Here is a 24,775-nt window from a genome sequence, read left to right as displayed (position 1 = left end):
TTTTTCTTTTTAGAAATTATATAGAATTTGGTGGCTCACGCCTGTAATCCCCGCACTCTGGGAGGCCAAGGCGGGTGGATCACGAGGTCAGGAGATCAAGACCATCCTGGTTAACACGGTGAAACCCCATCTCTACTAAAAAACTACAAAAAAAGTTAGCCGGGCATGGTAGCCGGCACCTACAGTCCCAGCTACTCAGGAGGCTAAGGCAGGAGAATGGCGTGAACCCAGGAGGCGGAGCTTGCAGTGAGCCGAGATCGCGCCACTGCACTCCAGCCTGGGCAACAGAGTGAGACTCCTTCTCAAAAAAAAAAAAAAGAAAGAAAAAAAAAGAAAAAGAAATTATATAGAATTAACATGCAGTCAAGCCCTCCCACAGATAATTGATTGCTAAGGCCCAGCATCAATACCCCTGTTTTAGGAGCCAGACACGGTGGCTTATGCCCTCAACTCCAAAGACTCAGGAGGCTGAGGCAGGAGGACTGCTTGAGCCCAGGAGTTTAAGACCAACATGGGCAACATAGCAAGACCCCATCGCTAAAAAAATTTTTTTTAATTAGCTGGACATGATAGCATGTGCCTATAGTCCCAGATACTTGGGAGGCAGAAGAGGGAGGATTGAAGCTGCGCGTGGTGGCTCATGCCCATAATTCCAGGACTTTGGGAGGCCGAGGCAGGAGGATCACTTGAGGCTAGGAGTTCGAGACCAGCCTGGCCAACATGGCAAAACCCCACCTCTACTAAAAATACAAAAATTAGCCGGGCATGGTGGCGCACACCTGTAATCCCAGCTACTCGGGTGGCTGAGGCACGAGAATTGCTTGAACCCAAGGAGGCAGAGGTTGCACTGAGCCAAGATTACGCCACTACACTCCTCTGTCAAAAAAAAAAAAGAGGAAGATTGCTTGAGCCTAGAAGTTTAAGGATGCAGTGAGCCATGACTGCACCACTACACTCTAGCCTGGGCAAAAGAGTGAGACCCCAGCTCTAAAAATATGAAAAAATACCTCTGTATTAGACCAACCATGCTACAGTGAGTTTTCCTGTAAAGAACTGGGTTAAAAAGATCCTTACAGCAACTGCAAGGTCAGGATGTCTGCCCGAACAACCCTCATACTACAGGAAGCGAAGAGGAAGCACTGGGGGGAAAAGGCAGTAGACGGGGTGGGGAGGGGGAGCCTTTCACAAAAGATCCTTTCCAAAAAACGTCATCCAGGAGATGAGAATGCCAACTCATCACAGCAGCTAGGTGATGAGTAAGCTTATTTCAGGAGGTGACCAGGAGTTCTTCGAGTGCTATGATTAGGTGAGGAGGCTGCAAGCCATAAGAGGTTCCTAGAGCTGGGAGGTTTCAAGAATTACTTAGAGGCCAAGAAATAAGGAGAGAATATTTCAGTTGGGTGCTACTGAAGCCAGAGCAGGAACGGAATGATGAAAATGGGTTCTAAGCCTGGTGCAAGGCTGCGCACAAGAGTATCATAAGTGAAAAGCTAGCATTTATTAAGTAATAGCTGCACGCCAGGCATTGTGCTAATAAGCAGGCTCTGTATGCATTGGCTCACTTAAACTTAACAATAACCCCAGGAGGTAAGTCTATTATTACTTCCATTTAAGAGACTAAAATAAGGCCAGAATATAAGCTCCGCAAAGGCATGATTCTGTCCCTCAGATTGTTCACTAGCAAATCCTTAGAGCCTAGAACAGTGGCTGGCCCACAGCAGGCACACAGTGTTTTTTTGTTGAATACATGAAAAAGATAAGGTACTTACCAACTACACGTGACGGACAGGCCAGGATTGGAAGCCATGCTGTCGGCGTCCAGAGCCCACACTCTCAGCTTCTACTCTATGCCACCCAGGATGGAGAGAGCTTGCTGAAGAGATGGGAAATAAATCTCCTGGCATGTGGACAGCTTGGTTGACCACAGCACATTTCACAGTGTCTGCATCTTCTGCTTCAGCGCTGGCAATATTACTGTATACCCAGCATACAGAGTGAAGTTATTCAAGGGGCCAGTGCCTATAGATGATCAGGAAAAGTGGAAGGCCAGGCATTGTGCTAATAAGCAAAGTCCGTATGCACTGGCTCACTGAAACTTAACAATAACCCCAGGAGGTAGGTCTATTTTTACTTCCATTGGCAGGGCACAGAGTAGCCACAAATCCTCCTTTCCCTCAGTCCTGGAACACTCCCTGGGGCCTCTCTCCAACTTGTGTCATGCCCCACAATTCACTTTAGTGTGGGAGAGGGAGATGGGAGGAAAGGACTGGAAGCGGGTAGATTTATTCATCTGACTCTCCAAGAATATGGTGAATACAGCTGGTACAATCTACAACAGAACTTCCCAAAATGTGGTATGTATATGTCCTTGCATACCACAAATCGCTTTATGTAGGACACAAACACTAGAGTTTACATATCAACGCTTATGGTTACTTACTATTTTGGGCGAATTATACTTGTTCTTTATTAAACGAAGAGTGTCCCTTCAAAAAGAACAAGCACTCCCACTTAAAGAACAATATTAGGTCAACAATGAAATAGGTATTACATCAATGTAGCAAAAAATCAAAACAGAATTGACTACAGTTTCAGAAATACTGGTTTCCTGGAACTTCCTAAGTTCTCTGTGTCAAATGTCCCCATCCCTGCAACTTGCCTGTCCACTCAGGTATGCCATAGTTCAAAAGGAAGAGTTTACAGAGATTAAGTTTTAAATTTTCTATCAAAATCCCTTAATAAATGACTACACACACAAAAAAGAAAGAGATGGGGGAGAGGGGAGAGGAACAGACACAAAAAGGCATGTTCATTAAAATATTATGAAGTTAACAACAGGACTTGACCTGGGGCTGAAGTCATGCCCTCTGCCTGAAGACAGCTGTAACACAGAGCTCTCTTTGATACTACCCTAAATTCCACACTATTCTTTCGACTATTATTGTATACATGGTAGCTTAGCTCAGCCCTGTCCAAAGAATTGTACTGAGGTCTCTGGGACCTGTTCCAACAACAACACACAATGAGGCCTTCTTTCTCTGATAAAGCCAAGAACCCCTCCCTCTGTGATCTGTTCCCCTGCCCCTCCCAGACAAAACTAAAGTATCATTTTGAGAAGAATTCATCAGCCAAATACTGCCTTCTCTTCACCTTCCCTGTTGGAGATGATCAGGTTGCAGGGCAGCTAAGGGTGAGTTGTGCTCTAGGACAGAGCCTAGGGGTCTAGTCTGCTCCAGGGAGAGATAAACACTTTTACTCGCAAATTCATGGCATCTTATCCACAGCTGTAGAAAGGTAAGGCTGAAAGGGAAGCAATGATACTAAAACCTGCACCAGTCCAATGTAAGATCCATGAGAGAAGGGCCTTATCTTATTCATGCTGTATTCCCAGAACCAAATGCAACAGTGTTTAGTGCTCAGCAGGTACACAGTAAATTGGTATTGAATGGATGAATGAAGTGAGCCACTAAGTGGATGAATGAATGAATGAGTGATTGGATGGATGGATGGATGGACAGATGAATGAAGGAGTGGATGGCTCCAGCAGGACTGGCAGAAGTTAAGAGGAGGGAAAGCATGACTGTAAGATTATTTTCTCTCTATCTGCTTGAAAGCTAGCAACTGTATAAATAATGGGACTCCAAAGGAGGACTATTTTTCTCTTTTCACAGCCATCCCTTGCAGGTGGTGGATTAACTGCAGGACTTTTGGCCCCTGAACCACCGGGACTCACTGCCTGGGGCAGCAAACCAAAAGCCATCTTGACTTTCTCCAGGACATATTCAGACACCCCAACTTCTGTCTTGATTGCTAGTGTCCAAAACAGGAAGAACAGAGTGCTGCTGGGAATGCAGAATTGCACCAGCTGATCTGACCCCTTCTTCTAAGAAGCTCAAAGTCCTTCACATCCTGGCTTCTCTCTTGGGGAACTTTTATTTACAGTAGACCTATATTTTTTTCTTTTCTTTTCCTCTCTCTCTTTGCTTATCTGTATTTTCTAATCATTCTACAATGAACAGATTACTTGAGTAATAAAAATGTCTAAGACTGATAAAACACACAAATAAAACCATTCAAAAAAGACACTGAAAACGCACATTTTATAGAGTTCCATTTCAACATTTCTACAGTATAAAATTTAACACTACCATTTCATGCAGTTGCACTCAACTAAGTCCTTTGAAAACCAAGCTGTAAATTTCTGATAAAAGTCAAAGCTCATGACTTAAAATCAGAACAGCCAGCCATACAGGCACTTATCTTATAAAAAGGGGCAGCCATCTGATGGGCAAGGTGCCAGAGTATTAGAAAGGACAAGGACACAAGCTTAATAAGTAAGGTGCCATATATGGATGAAACATATGTTCTCAGTTCAGCTGTGGTAAGAAAAGATGCTCTGCATCTCTCTTCTGGTGGCAAAAACTTCCAGAGCGGCTGACAGGAGCTATGGTACACTCCGCGGTGATAGAAGGGGTTTCTTTCTTGGTGGGGTTGATTGGTCCATCTTGGAGCTCAACCCTAGTCCCAAACAGATGGACCATGCTCTAGGCAGCTCGACCACCAGCTGGGAGGGGTCTCCCATTCCACTCAGTCTCAGAACTCATTGTCAATGTCCAGCCTGCTCCACAAAGTGATAACAAGGAAAGCAGCTGGGCTAGCAATCAAAAGATTGTATTTCTGGCCAGACCCTGCATACCCCACTTAGTTATTCTGTACCTTGGTGACTCCGTGTTACCAAAAGTGAGTGACACTAGCCGTATCTCACAGGTTGCTAAGCATAAACTATGGCAAATGTTAAACTGATGAGAAAAAAAAAAGAGGAGAGGAGGAAAGGAAAGAAAAGGGAATGCAGAAATTACTACTAAACAAAATTTGACACCAATTAGATGATTGGGATTTCCCCACCTCAAACTATGCTGAGTTTAACAAGCAGAAAAGACATGCAAATCACCTTTCGGATCAATGTTCTCCTAAAATACAACATTTTTTTTTTTTTTTTTTTTTTTTTTTTTTTTTTTTTTTTCCGAGACAATGTCTCACTCTGTTGCCCAGGCTGGAGTGCAGTGGTGTGATCTCAGCTCGCTGCAAGCTCTGCCTCCCGGGTTCATGCCATTCTCCCGCCTCAGCCTCCCGAGTAGCTGGGACTACAGGCACCCACTACCACGCCTGGCTAATTTTTTGTATTTTTAGTAGAAACGGGGTTTCACCGTATTAGCCAGGATGGTTTCGATCTCCTGACCTCGTGATCCGCCCGCCTCGGCCTCCCAAAGTGCTGGGATTACAGGCGTGAGCCACCACACCCTGCCAAAATACAACATTCTTAAAAATAAAAGAGAAATGAATAGAAGCTTCCAGTTTATCCTTTTCAACCCATCTTTCTAAGAGATGACACAGCATTAAAATATGGCCTGTAAGAACTGCATAAAGACAGCGGGTAAAGTCCCCAGTTCCCAAGGACAGGCAAGGGGGAAGCCAGCAGCACGCAGCTCAGCACAAATCTCTGTCCCGCTGATACCCATGAGCACCAGGGCAGGCACTCACATCCTGTCCTCAGGCTTAGGAGCCAGGGTTGCAACATGGGTGTGAACTTGAACATTCTGGGAATGTATCAACAAAAAGGGTGAAGAGGGCAGGGGGCAAAGACTTCCCAAGGCTGAATCAATAGAGCCGTCTGTAGACAGAGGGGCAGCAATAAAGTGTGCTGGATACACCAGAGCCGTGGGCTGCCTCAGGGAGGTTTTGCTAAGCATGGCCTGCAGAATCCATTCCCAGTTCCCTTTTCACACACAAGACCTCAGCAGCACAGCTGAACTGAAGCGCTGGGCCTCTGGGAATACAATCTGGTGTAGAAACTGCTGATCTGAGAGGCTCATGGTTTTAAAAGAACAGGTTAGGTTTGAACCCTGGCTTGGCCCCTTCTGGCAATGGGCTCTACATCTCTCATTCAGTCAGTGGCAAGGTAAGTGTGCAATTTACCAAACACTACTGCCCCTAAGTTGCTTCTCACAAAAAAGGAATAACCATACCTGTCTAACACAACTGTTGCTAGGATCAAATTGCATCATGCCTGAAAGCATTTAGCATGATGTTGGCTCAATGCATTCACTGTTATTAATTTCATGCCTTAATTTCACTGTGATTAATTTCAACCATTATCACGGTTGTCATTATTAACTGGAGAATGTGGCTATGTGTACTGTAGGATCATGTTACAGAAAAATCCCTCTCCCTAGCCCCAACCTTGAGGACGGGCACAGTATAGCAAGCCTGAGGGCTCCCTTCACACTTTGGATCCAGTGCTGCTGTTCTATATCAAAGCCCTCACCACATACAGTTGGTGCAGAGCCTCCAACCTCAGCAGAATATCCATAGAAAACAACTGCTTATCCTGAAATGAGTCAACTGCTGGTTAGTTCCAAATATGCGTAAGAAATCCAAACTAAACTTAGTTCTGGCTTCTTTGTACTACCAAAAGGATTTAAGATGACATGTGCCCATCAACTGCATATATTAACACAGAGTTAGATGTCTAAGTAGTGGGGGGGTACATAACTGGGATTGTCTTTTCTTCGTTGCACTAATCTTTCACTGTGATGTCGTCCAGGCATCACTCTAGATGCCCACACTACACAATAATGTAAGAAAATACGGAAGAAGGCAAAATACAAAGATGTTAACTAATGCCTTCCCAAAACTTTCTTTGGAGAAGTAGTCCCCAGATTTGGGAATTTCAACAACCAACTTAAACTAAACACACACACACACACACACACACACACACACACATTTCATTGCCTATAACTTATTATGCCATGTACAACCGTTAAAAAACATATATTAACATCACTGAATTAAAAAGTTGTCATGGCCAGCACAATGGCTCAGGCCTGTAATCCCAGCACTGTAATCCCAGGCAGGAGGATTGCTTGAGCCCAAAAGTTCAAGACCAGCCTGAGCAACATAGTGAGATTCCGTTTCTACAAAAAATAAAAATAAAAAAATACATGGGCCTGGTGGCACATGCCCGTGGTCCCAGCTCCTTGGGAGGCTGAAGCAGGAGGATCACTTGAGCTCAGAAGGTCAAGGCTCCAGTGAGCCGTCTTTGTGCCTTGCATTCCAGCCTGGGCAAAACAGCAAGACTCTGTCTCCGACAACAACAACAAAAAGTCTTCATTATTCCAAAACAGTAAGAAAGATACACTCCAAGAATAAGACACACACCTTTGCATTATATAAATTTAGGCTTATGAATAACCCATTATATTACACTGTCCACATTTTTCTCAGAGAAAACTGTGGGACTGGATTTCCACATTAGGGAATTGATGCTCTAGAAGGGGGAGCATTGCTACTTCCGGGTTAAGGACTATTGCCACTGGAAGGTTAAAAAATGACATTCCTGGTCCAAAATCAGCAACAGAAAGAGGAGCCTTTTACCCACCCTACCAAATATGCAAAGAAAGGAACACTGGCTTCATAGAGAAGGAGAGGCAGCAGGATCACTGGCTAACTCCAGAGCACCTTTAACCTTCCTACTAAAATCTGTCCAGCTCATCTTTCTGGGTTCTGGTACTTCATTCCAGGTTACAGCTGCCTCATTAGCTATTCCAAACCTCAGTCACACTTTTGGGCCTTCATATAAACTCATTTTTCGCTCTCCCTCCTCAAAAACCTGCTAAAAGTAAAATACAAACTTACCACATGACCTAGCAATTCCACTCCTAGTTACCTACCCAAGAGAAATGATACATCCACACAAAAACTTGTACAAAAATTTCATAGTAGCAACATACATAATAGCCAAAAAGTAAAAATGATCCAAATGTCTATGAACTGGAGAATAGAAAAACTAAATGTGGGCCAGGCGTGGTGGGTCACACCTGTAATCCCAGCACTTTGGGAGGCAAAGACGGGTGGTTCACCTGCGGTCAGGACTTCGAGAACAGCCTGACCAACATGGCAAAACCGCACATCTACCAAAAATACAAAATTAGCCAGGTGTGGTGGCACATGCTTGTAATCCCAGCTACTTGGGAGGCTGAAGCAGGAGAACTGCTTGAACCCGAGAGGCGGAGGTTGCAGTGAGCCGAGATTGCGCCACTGCACTCCAGCCTGGCGAAAAGGGTGAAACTCCATCTCAAAAAAAAAAAAAAGAAAAGAAAGGAAAAAAAGAAAAAGAAAAAGAAAATGTGGTATAGCCACATGATGGACTACTATTCAGCAATAAAAAGGAATAAGCTCGTGACACATGCTTCAACATGAATGGACCCGAAAAACATTATGCTAAGTGAAAGAAGCAAGACACAAACAATCATACGTTGAATGATTCCATTCATACAAGATGGCCAGAAATGGCCCACATACAAAACACAGATTAGTGGTTGCATGATGGTGAGAGCAGAATTCACTACAAATGAGCAGGAAGGAAATTTTTCTGAATAAAAAGTTTAAAAAAAAAAATCTGTTCAGCCCGGGCATGGTGGCTCATGCCTGTAATCCCAGAACTTCGGGAAGCCAAGGCAGGTGGATCACCTGAGGTCAGGAGTTTGAGACCAGCCTAGGCAACATGGTGAAACCCCGTCTCTACTAAAAATACAAAAATTAGCTGGGTGTGGTGGCACATGCCTGTATTCCCAGCTACTCGGGAGGCTGAGGCACGAGAATTGCTTGAACCCAGGAGGCAGAGGTTGCAGTGGGCCGAGATCACACCATTGCACTCCAGCCTGGGCAACACAGTGAGACTCGGTCTCAAAAAAATAAAAATAAAAAATAAAATCTGTTCAAACCTATGCTTAATAATATGCTTGGAAGAATTCAGTAAGTTTCCATTCAGTGAGTGAGCCAATGAGTGAGTGGGTGAGTGAATGAATGAAAACTAGCTTCCCAGAAGCATCCCTGGTTAGACCAAAACTAGGTCCACATATTTCATTCACCCTAGTCAGCCTCGGCAAGTTATGTGTAATAGTTACGGAATAGCAAGTTATTTGTAATATATATATGTGTGTGTATATAATATTGGGTCTCGTTCTTTGGATGAAGTTGAACCATATAAAACTGTCGTTTTTTGTAGGTCAAAATTGTTACATACTGGCAATTTCATATGATTCAACCTATACTTGCAATATTTGATAAGGAGTAGAGACAGAACAGGAACTTTTAGGTCAGGCTGACTTTACGGCTGCAGGCTCCATCCCACAGCCTAAGCTTCAGTCTCCTCATGTGGAAAATGGGAATAATAACAGGATCTTGTTCACAGGGCTGCTGTTAAGGATTACTATGACAGTGCGTGGAAAGCACCTACCAGTGCTGATACAAAGTCACAAAGGAAGTGTTGTGTAAATACCTGCTGGTCCTATCCCTCTCTGGAACTATACACTCCTCAGTGATCAAGGACCAGGCCTTTGACTTCTTTTGTTTTTGTATGTTGCCTATTTGTGCGTTCCCTTGGCATGCAGAATGGGATGTTCACTGCTGGACTCCTCCACAGATAAGGCTTCCTACCTGCTATTAAAGCCCAAGAACACATCCCCAGATGCCACCAGAGTCCCTGCCTGCTGACCTCTAACTGCTCCAGGGTGAACTGCTGACGTGCTGCAGGAGGATTCTTATGATTCCATTCCCAACATCCTCCTTGTCGCATGTTCGGCAATAGCGTGAGGTTGAAGGAAGTGTCATCACAGAGATTTCCGTCCGGCTTATTTCTCAACAAAAATGTTTGGCTGCTATGCAACCAGTGTTTTAATAGATGACGGGACCTTTCGTGAAAGGCCAGGTTTCTATTAGCAACAACAAAGGACAGGAGCTATGGGGCAGATGCAAATAAAATCATACCTCTGCATCCTATTTGAAATTCCTCAACTCATTTTCAGCTATCATAAAGGCAGCCAAAAGATTCCAAATGGGGAAACAATGAGACAAAATTAGAGGTGCCAGACTTCACCAATAAAAATGCAGAACAACTAGTTAAATTTAAGGTAAACTACAATTATATTGGGACATATTTATTCTGAAAATTTTTCATTATTTATCTGAAGTTCAAATTTTACTGGGTGTCCCATATTTTATCTGGCAACACTAGATTTAATTGGCATCTCAGATCACTATTTTATTTCCCAAACACAAGACACAATGTACTTTCAGTTCAATTAACCATTCTTTCACCAGAAGAAACTATGCAGACCAGAAAGATAAGGTTCCCATACTTTATGACAGTCTGCGCATGAGGCTGGATTAAGGGGTATCTCCCCGCCACTACACACTGGAACTTCAGTTGGCCCTGCATGGCCCCAAAACACTTAATATGGACTAGAGGCTTACTGAATCCTTGAATGAGCCCTATGGGGTAGGCCCAAGTATTATTTTCTCTACTTTACAGGTGAGGAAACTGAGGTTTGGAGAGGATGAAATCTAACTCAGGTTTGGGCCTCCTAATTTAAACAAACAAATAATGTCAATGGGCCTCTCATCAGAGTCCCAGACTTGGTCTACTGTCTACTCTAGTGTCCCTGAGCTAATTCTAAATTTCCAGTGCCCTAGTATGTGCATTGTATTTCAATACAGCTGTTAAAAAAAAAAATTTGCCAATGCCTACTTTTTCATCAATAAAACTTCAATCCCAAAAACACTCCAGAGCCACTTCAACTGACGATTACAATTACATGGAATCCCCGCTTAACATCGTCGATAGGTTCTTGGAAACTGCAACTTTAAGTAAAACAACACATAACAAAACCAATTTTTTTGTCCTCAACATTACAATAAAAACTACGTTGAACAAAATGACATTATTCAAGAATCCATTTTACTTAAAGCCACAGTTTCCAAGAACCTACCGACAATGTTAAGTGAGGACTTACTGTACTTTTTCTTTCCTCCATCTACTGGCAGATCTCAGCAAATTGACTTCGCATGGACCTCTCCACTAAAATTAAGGACCAGAAAAATAAAAGGAGACCAAACTTTAAACAAGGTAAATCCTGCTAACTGGGTACAGCTCTGTTAAAGAATGCTCAGAATAAAATGAAAACGAAATCTGAAAAACATCAACTTCCACACATCTGTTTATAGCCTTCATCACCAATGATAACAGGATGGGGCAAAATTGTAGCCATTACTGTAAAAAGAAAATTATCTGGATATTGTTGTAAACAAATACCTCATTCATATAAAAGGTACCACAGAATAGTTTCTCTCATCTCAACTCTCACGGCCTCTGGAGCTTCCAGGGATTTAAGAGGGAACAGATCCCCTCTGATGTTCTTCTTTCAATCTAGTTTTTATCCTCTCTCCACGAGGTTACGGAATCTGACCCGCACCCACTCCAGTCTCACCAGACAGAAGGCAACTCTGCACACAGATCCCAGACCAATGACTGGCATTAGACATAAGTATCAACAGCACGGATTTAAAGTCATTTTTTAAAAATGCAATGTTTCCCTAAGGGCTGTGGGCTTCTCTAACCACAAAAGTTTAAGACAAGGTACTTTCGTCCCTATTCCTTGCAAGGAAAACAGTTGGGTACAGTGACATTCTTTGAACACAAGAGCAGCCAAAGGCGGGGGCTGGGGGAGGGGTGGGAATTCTTCATCATCATATTTGCCTTTGGAAGGCAATCCATCTCCTTGGTAACAGTTAAAAAAAAAAAAAACCCTCTACTAAATCTTACACCTTAGCAGGCAGCCTTGAAAATATGCCAGGGATTCAGACAAGGTACCCACTCTTTTTCTCAAAAAGATGATTGGGGTTTTTATGTTTGTCCGTATTTACCAAAAAGGGGCATCCAGTGTCTTTCCCATGGATCTCATGTCTTTCCTCATCTAAAAAAAAAAGAGATGGTGGCACAACAGTGACACTATACATTATAAAGTTCTGATGACTGAATGACAGTACATACAAGATTTTAAGGTCTGGCACATAGGGCGTCATCAATTTCTATTCGCTATGACTATAACTCTTATTATCCCACAGTGCAGCACTAGAATAGCACAGATGTGAACTTCAAGATGACAGGAGGGAGAACTAGATGTGTAAAACACAATGCAAAAAGCTCCTACAGCAATTCCACAGCTCAAACCCAGAGGAAAGAGTCAAAGCTATGCCCAGAAAAAATGTTAAAAAGAAAGAAAAAGCAATCAGACCTGTGCTCCAACCAACTAAAACCACATAGCCACCATCATGCAGTTAAAGATGCCTCAAGAACAGGAAACGGCACCTGCAGTAAGCTGATGACTGAATTGTACAGGCAAACACACACACTCTTGCCCAGAGCCCCATCTGTGACCTGATGTTCCCCATCAGGGAGGAACAGGAGTCATACAATGTGGAGGTTTAGATACCTTCTTAGACTGGAACAAAAAATGAACCTGGCATCATTTTGATCTCTCTCTGCCACGGCCTCCGCTTTCCTCCCACCCTGATTCTAAGACCTTCCAGTTTGCAGGCACCTTCTAGCTATGGGGATCAAATCACACGTGAGCACAAGAGAACGTGCTGCCAGGTTCACGAGAATAGTTGTGGAAAGCCGGGAAACTACTGAACTGACACCATAAGCAGGTCTATTAACAAAGCACAAATAATGGAATTAGATAAAAGACCTTGAGGCTGAGCACAGTGGCTCACGCCTGTAATCCCAGCACTTTGGGAGGCTGAGTGGGTGGATCACCTGAGGTCAGGAGTTAGAGACCAGCCTGACCAACATGGTGAAACCCCGACTCTGCTAAAAATACAAAAATTAGCTGAGCGTGGTGGCAGGTGCCTGTAATCCCAGCTACTCGGGAGGCTGAGGCAGGAGAATTGTTTGAACCCGGAGGTTGCAGTAAGCCGAGATCACGCTATTGCACTCCATCCTGGGTGACAACAGTGAAACTCCATCTCAGAAAAAAAAAAAAAAAGACAAAGAAAAAGACCTCAGCCTTCTGATGGCAGTTTGAGAGAGAGAGACAGAGACAGACAGAGACAGAGAGAGGGGGAGGAAGGACTCCAATGAGTCACTAAAGAACAGAAGCGAATAAGCTGCATGTCTCTAGAGCCCTCCCTAGTTCCCCTTTAAAGGCTCAATCTTTAAGCCTTTCAGGTAGTGCAAATTTTATTCATCATTAGAAACTTAGTCTGGATTTTTTATAGTTACTTATTACGCAGGTATTTCTTTCTAGATCATTGTGCCAGACAATGGGAAGTATGGCTCTCTCAGAGCCTGCATTCAAGGATAAGAAGGTACCAACTTAAATTTGTACCAATGAGTCAAAAGTGTTCGTTTAACACTGTGTGTCCCACTACATCAGGCCAGTGACTCAAGCATGTGAATAAGCAGCTGTGAAGTCAATTACATTTTGCTACAGTTTTAATGTCCCTTCCAAAACTCATGTTTGAAATGTAGTTGCCACTCTAACAGTACAAAGAGGTGGGGACCTTTAAGAGGTGATGAGGCCATGGGGGCTCCGCCCTCATGAATGAATCAATGCTGTAATCATGGGAGTGAGTTTATTATCACAGGAATGGGTTCCTTATAAACAGATGGGTTTGCTCCCTTTTGCCTCTCTCATCCTCTCTTTGCCCTTCCAACATGGGATGACACAGAAAGCAGACCCCTCCTCACCAGATGCTGGGCCCTCAATCTTGGACTTCCCAGCCTCCAGAATTTTGAGCCAATAAATTTCTGTTGGTTATAAGTTACCCAATCTGTGGTATTCTGTTAGAGCAGCACAAAACGAACTAAGGTACATGTCATTCCTACAGCTCAAGGAATAAATCCTGCTGAGGAATTCACAGGTACAAATACTCTCAGCCTCAAAGCATCCACTCTTGGGACTGTTGAAAGATGGAGGGTAAACTTCTCACCATATTACAAATTAAGACATTCGTCTTGACAAGCATTTGTAGAATGGCTACTGTGTGCCAGGCACCACGCAAACTACTCAGGATATAGCCATGAACCCTATCCTTCTGGAGCTTAGCATCTAAGGGGATCTTATAGTCTGAGTTGTAACGAATGTAAGAAAGAACCAAAATGCAGAAACACATATCTCTAAAGAAAATAAAGATACATTACAATATGCCTCCAAAAAAAAAACCCACCACAGTTGTTACTCCTAATACCATTCACCGCTATAAGAGTGAATACCTGCAGCATTACTTTACTCTTACAGTAAGAGTAAAAGCAGAAAAGGTGACCAAATTAGCGATGTCTGTTAGGTTTAATGTGGAACACATTATCTCTTCGAGGTATACCAGATTGGGAAGGAACAGCATCACCTAAACAGGGCTGTTTCCATGCCCAGGAAAGCTGCCAGGCAGCTACTGGGCCTTCAAGGTTACCACTCAAATGCCAGACCAGCTTGGCCTGGTGGATGAAGGGGCTCCATGCTGCAATGAGAGCTGCATTCTTTTCTCAGGTCAGCCATATATCCCACAGCCCTGAACTAGTCAATTCCTTCCCTGAGGGTATATAGTTCCTGCATTTATAAAATGACAAGACCAGTAGAAAAAGGAGAAGCATGGGGAAGAGGGGAGGGATATATAACTGTTCACCAAGTGCATACATAGACACAAACCCAGCTTTAGATGGCATGATAGGTCCTGGGCGGAAACTCTTTGCTCTTCCTCTTCTCGCTACATACCACAAAGTGTACTTGCACCATCACCACCCTTCCAGGCAGAGTGGCTTTTGAAAGACAGCTCTTAGGCAATCTACAACTTCCTAAAATGCTACACAATACTCCATTTGAGAGCACAGTCAGAGCACAATATCCCACCATGCCCCAACCAAGCCTGTTTCTCTGATGCTGGTCCCAGCTATACACCAAAGAAGCCTACCAATGACAGAAGGTCACTAGACTGGGAAACCAGGTGGCTTCCAGAGGCAGTGGCATTTGAGCTGAGACATAAAAGGAGGAAGAGGTGAAGGGAAGCGGAGGAATGCTGCATCAGAGGGCACTGCATGTACCACAGCCTTGTGATAGAGGAGGCACATGAGCATCAAAGGGAGCAGAAAAAGGGTCCTGTTGCCGGAAGATGCAGAGATGGTGTAAGATGAGAGTGGAGAGGCAAAGGAAGACAGACCACAATAAGGGGGTCATTTTAAGAGCAATGGGAGACAACTAAAGGGTTTTAAGCACTGAAGTGGCATATGTGATCAGATTTTCATTTTGAAAAGACCACCCTGGCTATAGTGGTAGCCGCAAGCTAATCAATGAGTCCACCTGGCAAATGCTAGTAGCCCCTAAATGGGGACCACTGTCCAAGACATCAAGAAAGAGAAAGGCTGGGACATAGCGGAAAAGAAGAAGGGTCAGGTAAAGGGAAACTTGGTCTAGCACAGGCAACTCAGCAGCATGAACATCAACTGGAGCTTGTAAGAAATGCAGAATGTCAAGCCCCACCTCAGAACCTGCATTTTAACAAGGTCCCCAGGCAATCTGGATGCACATTAAAGTTTGAAAAGCACTCCCCCAACAGAGTGGCAACTGGTCTTTGGAGATTATCAATCATACCACCAAAGACTTGCCTTTTCAAACTCAGCTTTAAACAGTTTGTCAATGAAGCTGCAAAACCGAAATACCTGCCTTAAGGTTTAAATAGAATGGAATCACAGACGAGGGTTGCTGTGAGAGAACTCTCAATTCCTAAACTAGCCAGAAGGGGAAATCAGCATCCACCTGTTCTTTGATCTTGCCAAGTCAACACAACAAAAGCAACCACGTAGGGTGAGCACAGACAGCTATGATACAAAAAATCACCCTGTGACCACCCCCAAAAGCATCACTTATCTCCTAAGCAGAATCCAAGTCTCTGCCAAAGCTTCCTGACAAATCCTTGAGTCAGTCACCTTTGAGGGACAGCTTCTCAACACTCAAATATTCATCTTGTTGCCCACTTGAAAAATGAACAAAACTACTTGCAACATTCATCAATCCCACAGATCACAATTCTATCTAATTATAAAAACACTGGCTCAATCAACTGCTTTCCTATGATGCTGAAAATCAGTCCTTTAATCATTAAGTGTCCTAGCTTTTCCCCATTTACAAAACAGGAACCCTAGCATTTATCTCCCAAAGGATGTTTTAGGGATCAGAGAAATGATACAATGCTCTTAGAGGTATATCCGGGCTATTTAGTTCACAAAGCTTTGATTATGTCACTATGCTACTCAAAAAACTTACAGTGACTTCCCAGTGTCCACTGAACAAAGACTCTTCACTGTGTCACCTAAACCTTCTGCAATCTAATTCCAACAACTTTTGGATTCTTATTGCACAGATGATATAGCCAACCAGGCTAGTCAGTTTCTGACACCACGCTATAGCTAGTGAGCTTCCCAGTGGAAACGGAACCCCATTGGCAATCCCTCCCTAAGTCCACACCCTCTGTGTGTTGAGACCTAAACAACCAGTAGGCACTGGCCAAACAAAGGAGGACAGGGATGGTACCAGAGACACCAGGCAGAAGGAACAGAAATATTCAGTGGACTGATGCTGGGAAACCCATTATCCATTAGAAAAAATCAAAACAGATTCAGGACTGGAGCAGAGAGCTTATACACATAGGCAATGTGAGGCTGGAGGAGCTGGCAGGGGCCAGAGTCCACAGGGCTCAGAAAGCCCTATCAAGACGTCTGAACTTTATCCTAAAAGGGCTAGCAGAAACGTTCTTGAAAGCAACTACACTGTAATACTTGAGAACTGTTTTAGTGAAAGCAGAAGGTGCCTCCAAAGACTTTTTTCTGAAACTCTTGATTCACTTTGCCCACCAATGAAATTCAAACTGTTTTTAGGAAATATATGTGGGAATTTTAATAGCAGTACATCATCTCTTTTAACCAGCGATTATAATCACAGAACTACAGAACTAGTAGGAACTTTAGCAATCATTTACTCTAACCCCTTATTTTAAAGATAAGAGAACTACGGTCCTAAGAGATTAAATAATTTGCTCAAAGACAGAGGCAATTTGTGGCAGAGTCAATATTTAAACCCAAGTCTTATGTCTTCTTTGGCCAGAGAGAATAGGATGTAGCAAACATTCCAATATAAGAATCAAAGCATTCATTCATTAATTCCACAAATATTTGTCCATACAGCAGATGCCATCCTAAGCACTGGTTATACAGAAATGAACAATGGCAAACATCTTTGCCCTTGTGGAGTTTTCATTCTAGTAGGAGAGACGTAACACACACACACACACACACACACACACACACACACAGAAAAACACCTTAGTAAACAAAGTAAATTATACAGCATGTTAAAACAAGATAAGTACTATAGAAAAAAGTAGAGCAGAGAAGTGGGATGGGGGAGGCTGTCAGGGTAGAATTTGCTGAGATGACATTTGAGAAAGTCTTAAAGAGGGCAGATACTTTCAGGATCCTGGGGATTTGAGAGGTCACATGATTTCTATCCATTCCATCATAACTTACCTGTACAAAGTGGTAGGTAATAGGGCTGAGATTCTGGGGATAAATTCAGCCCCTTTTCCAAACCTGGTGACATCCATCTACCAAGTTCAACAAACAAAACTCCACAATTCTAACATTCTCTCTTTTCAAACTGGAAAAAATTATCCTCCTGGCTTTAATAAGAGGCCTTGATAGGCGATAAATTGTAATGTAATGAAAAAGTGGATACGGAGGGAATTTGGGGCTGGAAGCAAAACAAGTACATATTCTACACTTGGATAATGAACCAAGCCAATTTATTTTGGTTACTGTCAAATATGGATTAAAATGTGGGTCACTTCCTGAACACACCAGAAATGAAACTGAGATTGGCACCAAGTTCCCAAAACCTGATGAAGAGTTGCCCAGAACAGAGAAAAAGGAGGCACCAAAAGAGGAAGAACAACTGAGATTACAAAGACCATTAGAGCTTGGCCTCTTCTTCCCTAGAGCATGCTGTGCGGTGGTAAAGAGTCAACAATATCATTCCAAAGAGCCAACACTTTCTGAGCAATCCTCACAATAACCCTACGAGGTGGTCACTTTCATCAGCCTCACTTTACAGATGAGAAAACTGAGGCAACTGAGTTTCTGAGAGATTAAAATGCCCATACAGTCAATGGGCAACAACCAGGACTGGAACCCAGGTCTATCTGACTCCAAAACCCATTCTGGGGGTAGGCAAAATGTGGCTGTTGCCTTGTGTTTGTATGACCTGTGAGTTAGGAATGGTTTTTACATTATTAAAGGGCTATAAATTTTTTTAAAAAAAAAGAAGAAGAAGATATGACAGAGACACTATGTGGCGCACAAAGCCTAAAAAATTTACTAACTGGCCCTTTACAGAAAAAGCTTGCCCACCTTTGTAGTCTAATCCATTATACGAGACATCAACAGATTCACAACAAGCTCTATTAGTTATAGTTTATTTCCCAAAATGTAAATATCATAAAGAGAAAGAGACTCTGGAAGATAAAGAACTAGCTCTCGTACTGGCTGGGCTACAGGGCAGTCAATCATTGGCCGGGGTATTACAGAACTCTGTGGCATTACTTAATAGTTCTCATACATCATTTTGTTTTCATTTCTTATCATCTGTCCCAACAGGGGCAGTCCCCTCTCTCCCTCCTATCTGCCTGACATCCCTGTTCCCTACTCTCTAGGCACTTAACTCCCAAACACTATTCTTAGGCTGCTCACAGTCTGCCCAATCCTGGTGGTGCCTAATACTAAAATACTAAAAGTATCTCATTTTTCCCCCTACAAATTTGAATGTCCAGGGTTACTTTATTAAACCACAGCCTGATCGCCCAAAGTAATTTTCAAATGTGGGTAACAACCATGCTATATCTGGAAGGCAGGGCCCTTTCTCTTCCACAGATGACCGTGCTCAATTTACTTATGCCAGTGTGGAGTAACTGCGTTGCCTTGGCCTCTGTCCCCCCTCCTTCTGTATTTATAGCACCCCAGTATTCCTCTGGGAAATCATCCCTCCCTGACTTTCAGAACACTTATTTTACCCACTGTCAACTCTACTCTGGGGCTGGGTCAGGTCGGCTTCAGGGATTATCTCAAGGATGAGCACAGGCTTCAACAAAGAGCCAATGAGAACCATGCTGAGGGCTTCCCTTCAAAATCTTGGCCAAGTCATCCCACCAATGTGAAGGAAAAGACTGCCTGAGAATGGCGCCAGCCTAGAGAAGAGTGGAGTTGAGAGATGCAGAGACCAGGGCCTGCTGATATCCTTTGGAGTCACGAGAGTCTGGCAGGTCTTCAGTTAGAACATCACTGGGCTTTCCAGAGATGTACCACAACAAATTCCCTTTCTGTTTAAGCCGCTTGGATTGGTTCTTCTCTCCCTCACCATGGAAAATACCGTTTGGTGTGGCCAGAAGAAAGCACCGCCTCTACAAATGTAACTTATTAAAACCAACTGAGGCTGGGCATGGTGGCTCATGCCTGTAATCCCAACACTGAGAGGTCGAAGCAGGCAGATCGCTTGAGGCCAGGAGTTCAAGACCAGCCTGGCCAACATGGAGAAACCCCGTATCTACTTAAAATACAAAAATTAGCTAGGCATGGTGGCGCACATCTGTAATCCCAGCTACTCGAGAAGCTGAGGCACAAGAATCACTTAAACTCGGGAGGTGGAGGTTGCAGTGAGCCGAGATCATGCCACTGCACTCCAGCTTGGGTGACAGAGTGAGACTCTGTCTCGAAAAAAAGAAAAAGAAAAAATAAATAAATAAAACCAACTGAGAGAATGGTGATAACTAGCACTGCCTTCACTGTCAGCAAAGCTCCTCACCAATACTCCATGTCCATACTGAGACCTGAAGGGGTTCAACTCTCTTTTCCCCATCTATTCCATCTCTCTGGGGCTCTCAGAGAGACATTAAGGCCTCCTAATTTAACACCAAGTGATCAGATTAGAGCTGGGACCAGTGAGACTAAAACACTAAGACTCACCATCAGTATTTCAAACTAGCATGCTTCATCACCTCCTACCAAAGCTACGACCCCTCAAGCCTCTAAAGAAAGATAGATTAAAAAAAAAAAAAAAAAAAAAAGCAAAGGGATATAACAATCAGTGGGCAAATTCTCCTGCTTCTTTTAGGTCCAGGGTTGCTTGGCGACCAGCCTCAGCCTGGTCATTCCAGTGGACAGGCAGAGGAACGAATGTCAGGCCTCCAGGTCATGCACCATGTACTGTTTGCGGTCCCACTACTCGAGGGCAGGAGTGGATTCATGCTGTTCTACAAAGCTGGCAGAATGCAGCTGACAAAGCCCCTGATGCCTAGGGGGAATACCCATGGGTTTCTGTCTGCCCCACACTGGCCAAAGTTCCTCCAACCTTTCTGCCTTCGATGAACATCAGTTATCAGTGTTGCTCAAAATAGATGAAATAGGCTTTCAAAAACAGTTTGATAGGAAAACAAGGAAAAGGTTTTGAACACAGAAAGAACTTTAATGTTACTATTTATTAAGATAGTAGAAATCAGCACAATAAAAGGCATAGGGCACATCAGGGAAACACAGGCCAGCTTACGTTTCAGGTCCAGGATTTTTTCAAATCCTCCAACGCTGCTCATTCCACAGCTACATCCAAGGACTCCTGCTCTGAAAGCACAGCCGGGGTGCTCTCAGTCTCTAGGTCATGAACTAATTTCCAACTGAGAAGTCAATGGGGATAGAGATTTCTACATTTGGCAACACATTTTAGAAGTAACTGTGGTACTAGATCCCTGCACGGTCAGTACCCTGGAGGAGAAGGAGGAAAAAAAATGTGGGTCAATAAGTCTCTAGTGCTTAGATGTCGCCAAACAGGGCATCTGTGTGAGCAAAAATAGAGAAGAGGTGATGCTGTTCCTTCTCTCTCCCTACCCACTCTACCTAAGAATGGTAGTGTTCCACAAAAAACACAGAAACGGAGCCCAAGAGAAAGACAGAGACAGTCTCTTCTGCTTAAATTTTACTTAGCAAGCCTAAAAAATAAGAAGGTGTATGGGAGGCACTATCTTTTGTTTGCTAAATTCCTGTTAAGGCCCATTTATGCATGTGGAACTATCCAAATGAACTGATATTAAATCCTGCAAAAGGTCACTAAAGATTTCAGATAAATTTTGTGCAGAAACTATGCCCTGAGGGTATCTACTGGAAGAACAAGAGATGTGGTTCCAACACAGAAACGCTGTCAGCAAACAATGTATGAGAGGCCTGAAATATGGACAAAGAGAAACTTCTTTTTAATTTTAAAGGAAAGTGAAAAATGACTCTTTTGTAATTGATTAGGAGGCTTATAAAGTATACCTTCCCATTTGTGCTACTATAACTAAACTGATTTGTCAAAACTTAACACCTTTTTTTTTTTTTTTTTTTTTGAGACGGGTTTTGCTCTTGTTGTGATCTCGGCTCACTGCAACCTCCGCCTCCCGGGTTCAAGCGATTCTCGTCCCTCAGCCTCCCAGATAGCTGGAACTACAGGCGCGTGCCACCATGCCTGGCTAATTTTTGTGTTTTTAGTAGAGACGGGGTTTCACCATGTTGGTCAGGCTGGTTACAAACTCCTGACCTCAGGTGATCCACCCGCCTTGGCCTCCCAAAGTGCTGGGATTACAGGTATGAGCTACCATGCCCAGCCAACTTAACACCTTTTAAATGCGAGGGGTAGGGAGGAGAATATATACTCTAATATTCAAAATCTCTCTTTTTAAAGCAGTTTCATATACACAAACAAACGGCTTTGTCAATTTAAGAGTCAGCCATCAGTCCATTTCTTCTAGGTGTGAAGATTAGGAAACACATCAATTCACCGAAAGTCAACTGGCCCAGCCAAGCAGACCTGGCCTTCCTGCATAGTGCTACTTATGAAAGATATTTAGAAACATTCAATTTCTCTCCCCTTTCCCCTACCTGATAAAAGTAAAGCAATAGAGACCTAAGAGAGAAACAGAATGAGCACACTGGCAAAAGAATGGGAGAGGAGATGGAGGCTGGTGACAGCATTAATCTACACTTAGTTCTGATTCTTGCTTCTTTTAACTCATCATTTCTTGGGCTACCCCAAAGGAAGCCAGATGCCACCCTATCAGAGCAGTTACACCTGGTTTATCCAAGACAAAAGGCTGAGGCAGGAGAATCGCTTGAACCTGGGAGGTGGAGGTTGCAGTAAGCCGAGATCGTGCCACTACACTCCAGCCTGGCAACAGAGCGAGACTCTGTCTCAAAAAAAAAAAAAAACTTTAAAGCAAAATAAACCCTAAGGAGAACCAAGAGATGCTTGATGCTTGAGGCCATCAACACTTAGAGTTGCTTCTAGAAAAAAGTCAAGTGGTTGAGAAGGGCCCTTTAAAGGAACATTCGACATCATTTATTCAACATGCAGCGGGGAGTTTAGAGGGTGAGAAGTACCATAAAGACTACTAAACGGGGTAATGAGATAGAAGGGGAAGGATGGGACAGCTACCTGAGACTTTAGGTCAGGTGGTCAGAGGAGGACTCTCTGAGAGGACCTTTGGCTGAGACTTGAAGGATGAAAGGCTGATGACATAAAAACCTGTAGCAAAGGCATTCCAGAGGAACAGTAAGAGAAGGTGGCGGGAAAGTGCTCAGAGCATCAGAGGAATCTGAGGTCAGCCAAGCTTAAACACAGTGAGGTAGAAAGAGGAAGGTCAGAGAGGCATTAGGCAAGGTAGGCAGACGCCTGATCATACAAGGCCGCATGAACCATGGTAAGGTGTCCGAACTGTATGACGAATGGCATGGGAAGCCACTGGGAAATTCTGGATGAGAAAGAGTGGAATAAGGTTTATGACTTCTAAAATATTGGTCTGCCTGCCATGTAAGAAATGGATTCTATCTTACCAAGATCACTAAGGTTCCAGGTGGTCATGATTCCAATGAGTAAGAATATCATTCTGCCTACAAAAACAGGAGAAATACGATGGGAAAAAATACTATCCAGCAGAGTCTTTCCTTTAATAAAGGGATGCCTTACAATTTTCAACACTGTGGTCACCAACTATAGGCCCAGAATGGAAGGTCATTCAGCCCCTCAGAGAAGTGTTCTCGGACTACATAATCTAAAGTTGCCTCTACCCTCTACCATCCATCACTCAGTGTTATCTCATTTCCATCATGGTACTTTACACTATCCACTAGCATCCTGCTCACTTGTTTACTTGTTTGTCTGCCCACAAAAACAAAAGCTCCATAAGGCTGGAATTTAATCTTGTTCAAAGCTAACCCCTCAACACTACAACAATGCCTACCATACAGCTAGAGTACAATAAACATTTGTTGACTGGATTAATAAAGACCTTATCTTGATTTGTATTCAAAAAAAATTCTACCAGTCCCCAGTTCTAGATTCCTTTCTAGGGCAATCGGCTTCTTATGTGGGTTGTTATAACTAAAATGACTTCAGAAATACAGCAGAGATTAAGAAAGAGTGCCCTGGTCCTGGATACATAAGGAAAGAAGGGTTCCCTTGTCCTAGATCCCATCATAACCCAGTCTAGATATGTTTTGGAGTGTCTTGTGCTGTTGTTTACCCCAGAACCGCCCAAGTGTTCGAGTCTGCTAAGTGGCAGGAGTGTGTATGGGTGGGGGTGCAAGGAAATGTAAACTTCTAGTGCTGAGAACGGAAATAATTCATGACCAGCGAATGGAGATCAGTCCTTAACACAAACAATTATATAAATAAGGCAACTTTTTGTTAAGTACTACAACAGATACTTACATTAGACTCAAAGAAGTACTCTTAAGTAATCACCTCTGGGTAGTGAGATGGGTTGGGATGGGAGGGGCTCTCATGTGATGTTGTTGCTTTTATAATGATTTTTGATAACTCAGCCTCCCAAACAGTCCAGAAAAGATTGCAGAATCTTGTGACTAGATAGATTAAAACGAAGACATCTGGATTAAATTCAATATAATACTGGCCAGAGTACAAGGTCTACTCTAATTTCCAGAGATAATTATGAAGATTTATCTCCACTGAGCAAGCCAGAGATTCAGATGTAGAGACAGCAGAGAGACAATTTGTTTAAATGTCTATACTATTACTATCTCACAAAAGGTGAAAATAATGAGTGATTAGAGTAGCAATAGCTGCTACATTTTTGTGTCTGCTGCTTTGCACGTGCTACCCCATTTAACTCTTCCAATGCTCCCAAGTAAGCACTTGTGTCTCCATTTTGTAAATGAGAAAACAGAAGATTTAAGGGCTGGGCTAACAATTTATAGTCAGCAGTATAACAATAGTTCCACGCAAAAGGGTTGGCATTAGATCAAGGTTCAAATTCTGACAACAGCACTTTTTAGTTGTCTAAGACACTTAATCTCTCTATGCTTCCGTTGCTAGTCTATAAATGAATAGAGCAGTACATACCTCATTAAGACTGTTGTGAAGGTTCAATGAAATAAACTTTATAAAACACTTAACAAAAGCATCTGACTCACAGAAAACACTTAAATGGTGGAGATATTCTACTGCAGTTGTCCCTTAGTATCTGTGGGGCATTGGTTCCAGGACTCCCAACAGATACCAATATCTATGGATGCTCAAGTCCCTGATATGAAATGGCATAGTATTTGCATATAACCTAAGCACATCCTCCCACATATTTTAAATCATCTCAAGATTACTTATAATACCTAATACAAGGTAATAGCTCTGTAACAGTTGTTGTACTGTATTGTTAAGGGAATAATGGCAAGGAAAAAACATCTGAACATGTTCAGTAATGATGCTCTTTTCCCAACCCAATATTCTTGATCTGTGGTTGGTTGAATCCCCAGATGAGGAACCCACAGATACAGATGGTCAACTGTACT

General features: G+C 43.1%; 1 protein-coding gene across 34 annotated transcripts in view, besides 2 other annotated features; it reads right to left on the bottom strand.

The window, feature by feature from the left end:
• Window positions 1-24,775, bottom strand: part of ARHGAP26 (Rho GTPase activating protein 26) — a 458,635-nt gene that overhangs the window by 415,752 nt on the left and 18,108 nt on the right. For 2 of the 34 annotated variants that reach the window (XM_047416985.1, XM_047416983.1), the window contains exon 2: window positions 23,679-23,830. The exons of 29 other annotated variants lie outside the window; for them this stretch is intronic. Coding sequence is in view for 2 of the 5 variants with exons in the window: in XM_047416977.1 (XP_047272933.1) it covers window positions 20,487-20,529 (43 nt within the window). In the remaining 3 variants the exon portion in view is untranslated. 3 more of the 34 variants (XM_047416977.1, XM_047416987.1, XM_047416984.1) reach the window with 3 other exon arrangements.
• Window positions 5,761-5,810: a silencer, noted in NCBI's record as "silent region_16477". NCBI's record gives its function as "represses an Ori minimal core promoter by ATAC-STARR-seq in GM12878 lymphoblastoid cells {active_cell/tissue: GM12878}" and the evidence as "EXISTENCE:reporter gene assay evidence [ECO:0000049][PMID:35858748]".
• Window positions 15,333-15,834: an enhancer, noted in NCBI's record as "NANOG hESC enhancer chr5:142176991-142177492 (GRCh37/hg19 assembly coordinates)". NCBI's record gives its function as "activates a minimal SCP1, AML or CMV promoter by ChIP-STARR-seq in primed H9 embryonic stem cells {active_cell/tissue: H9 hESC(primed)}" and the evidence as "EXISTENCE:reporter gene assay evidence [ECO:0000049][PMID:30033119]".

This window comes from Homo sapiens, chromosome 5, assembly GCF_000001405.40.
Source record: "Homo sapiens chromosome 5, GRCh38.p14 Primary Assembly".
Lineage (NCBI taxonomy): Eukaryota > Metazoa > Chordata > Mammalia > Primates > Hominidae > Homo > Homo sapiens.
Note: the sequence above shows the minus strand (reverse complement) of the source record. Positions and strands in the feature narration are given on the sequence as shown.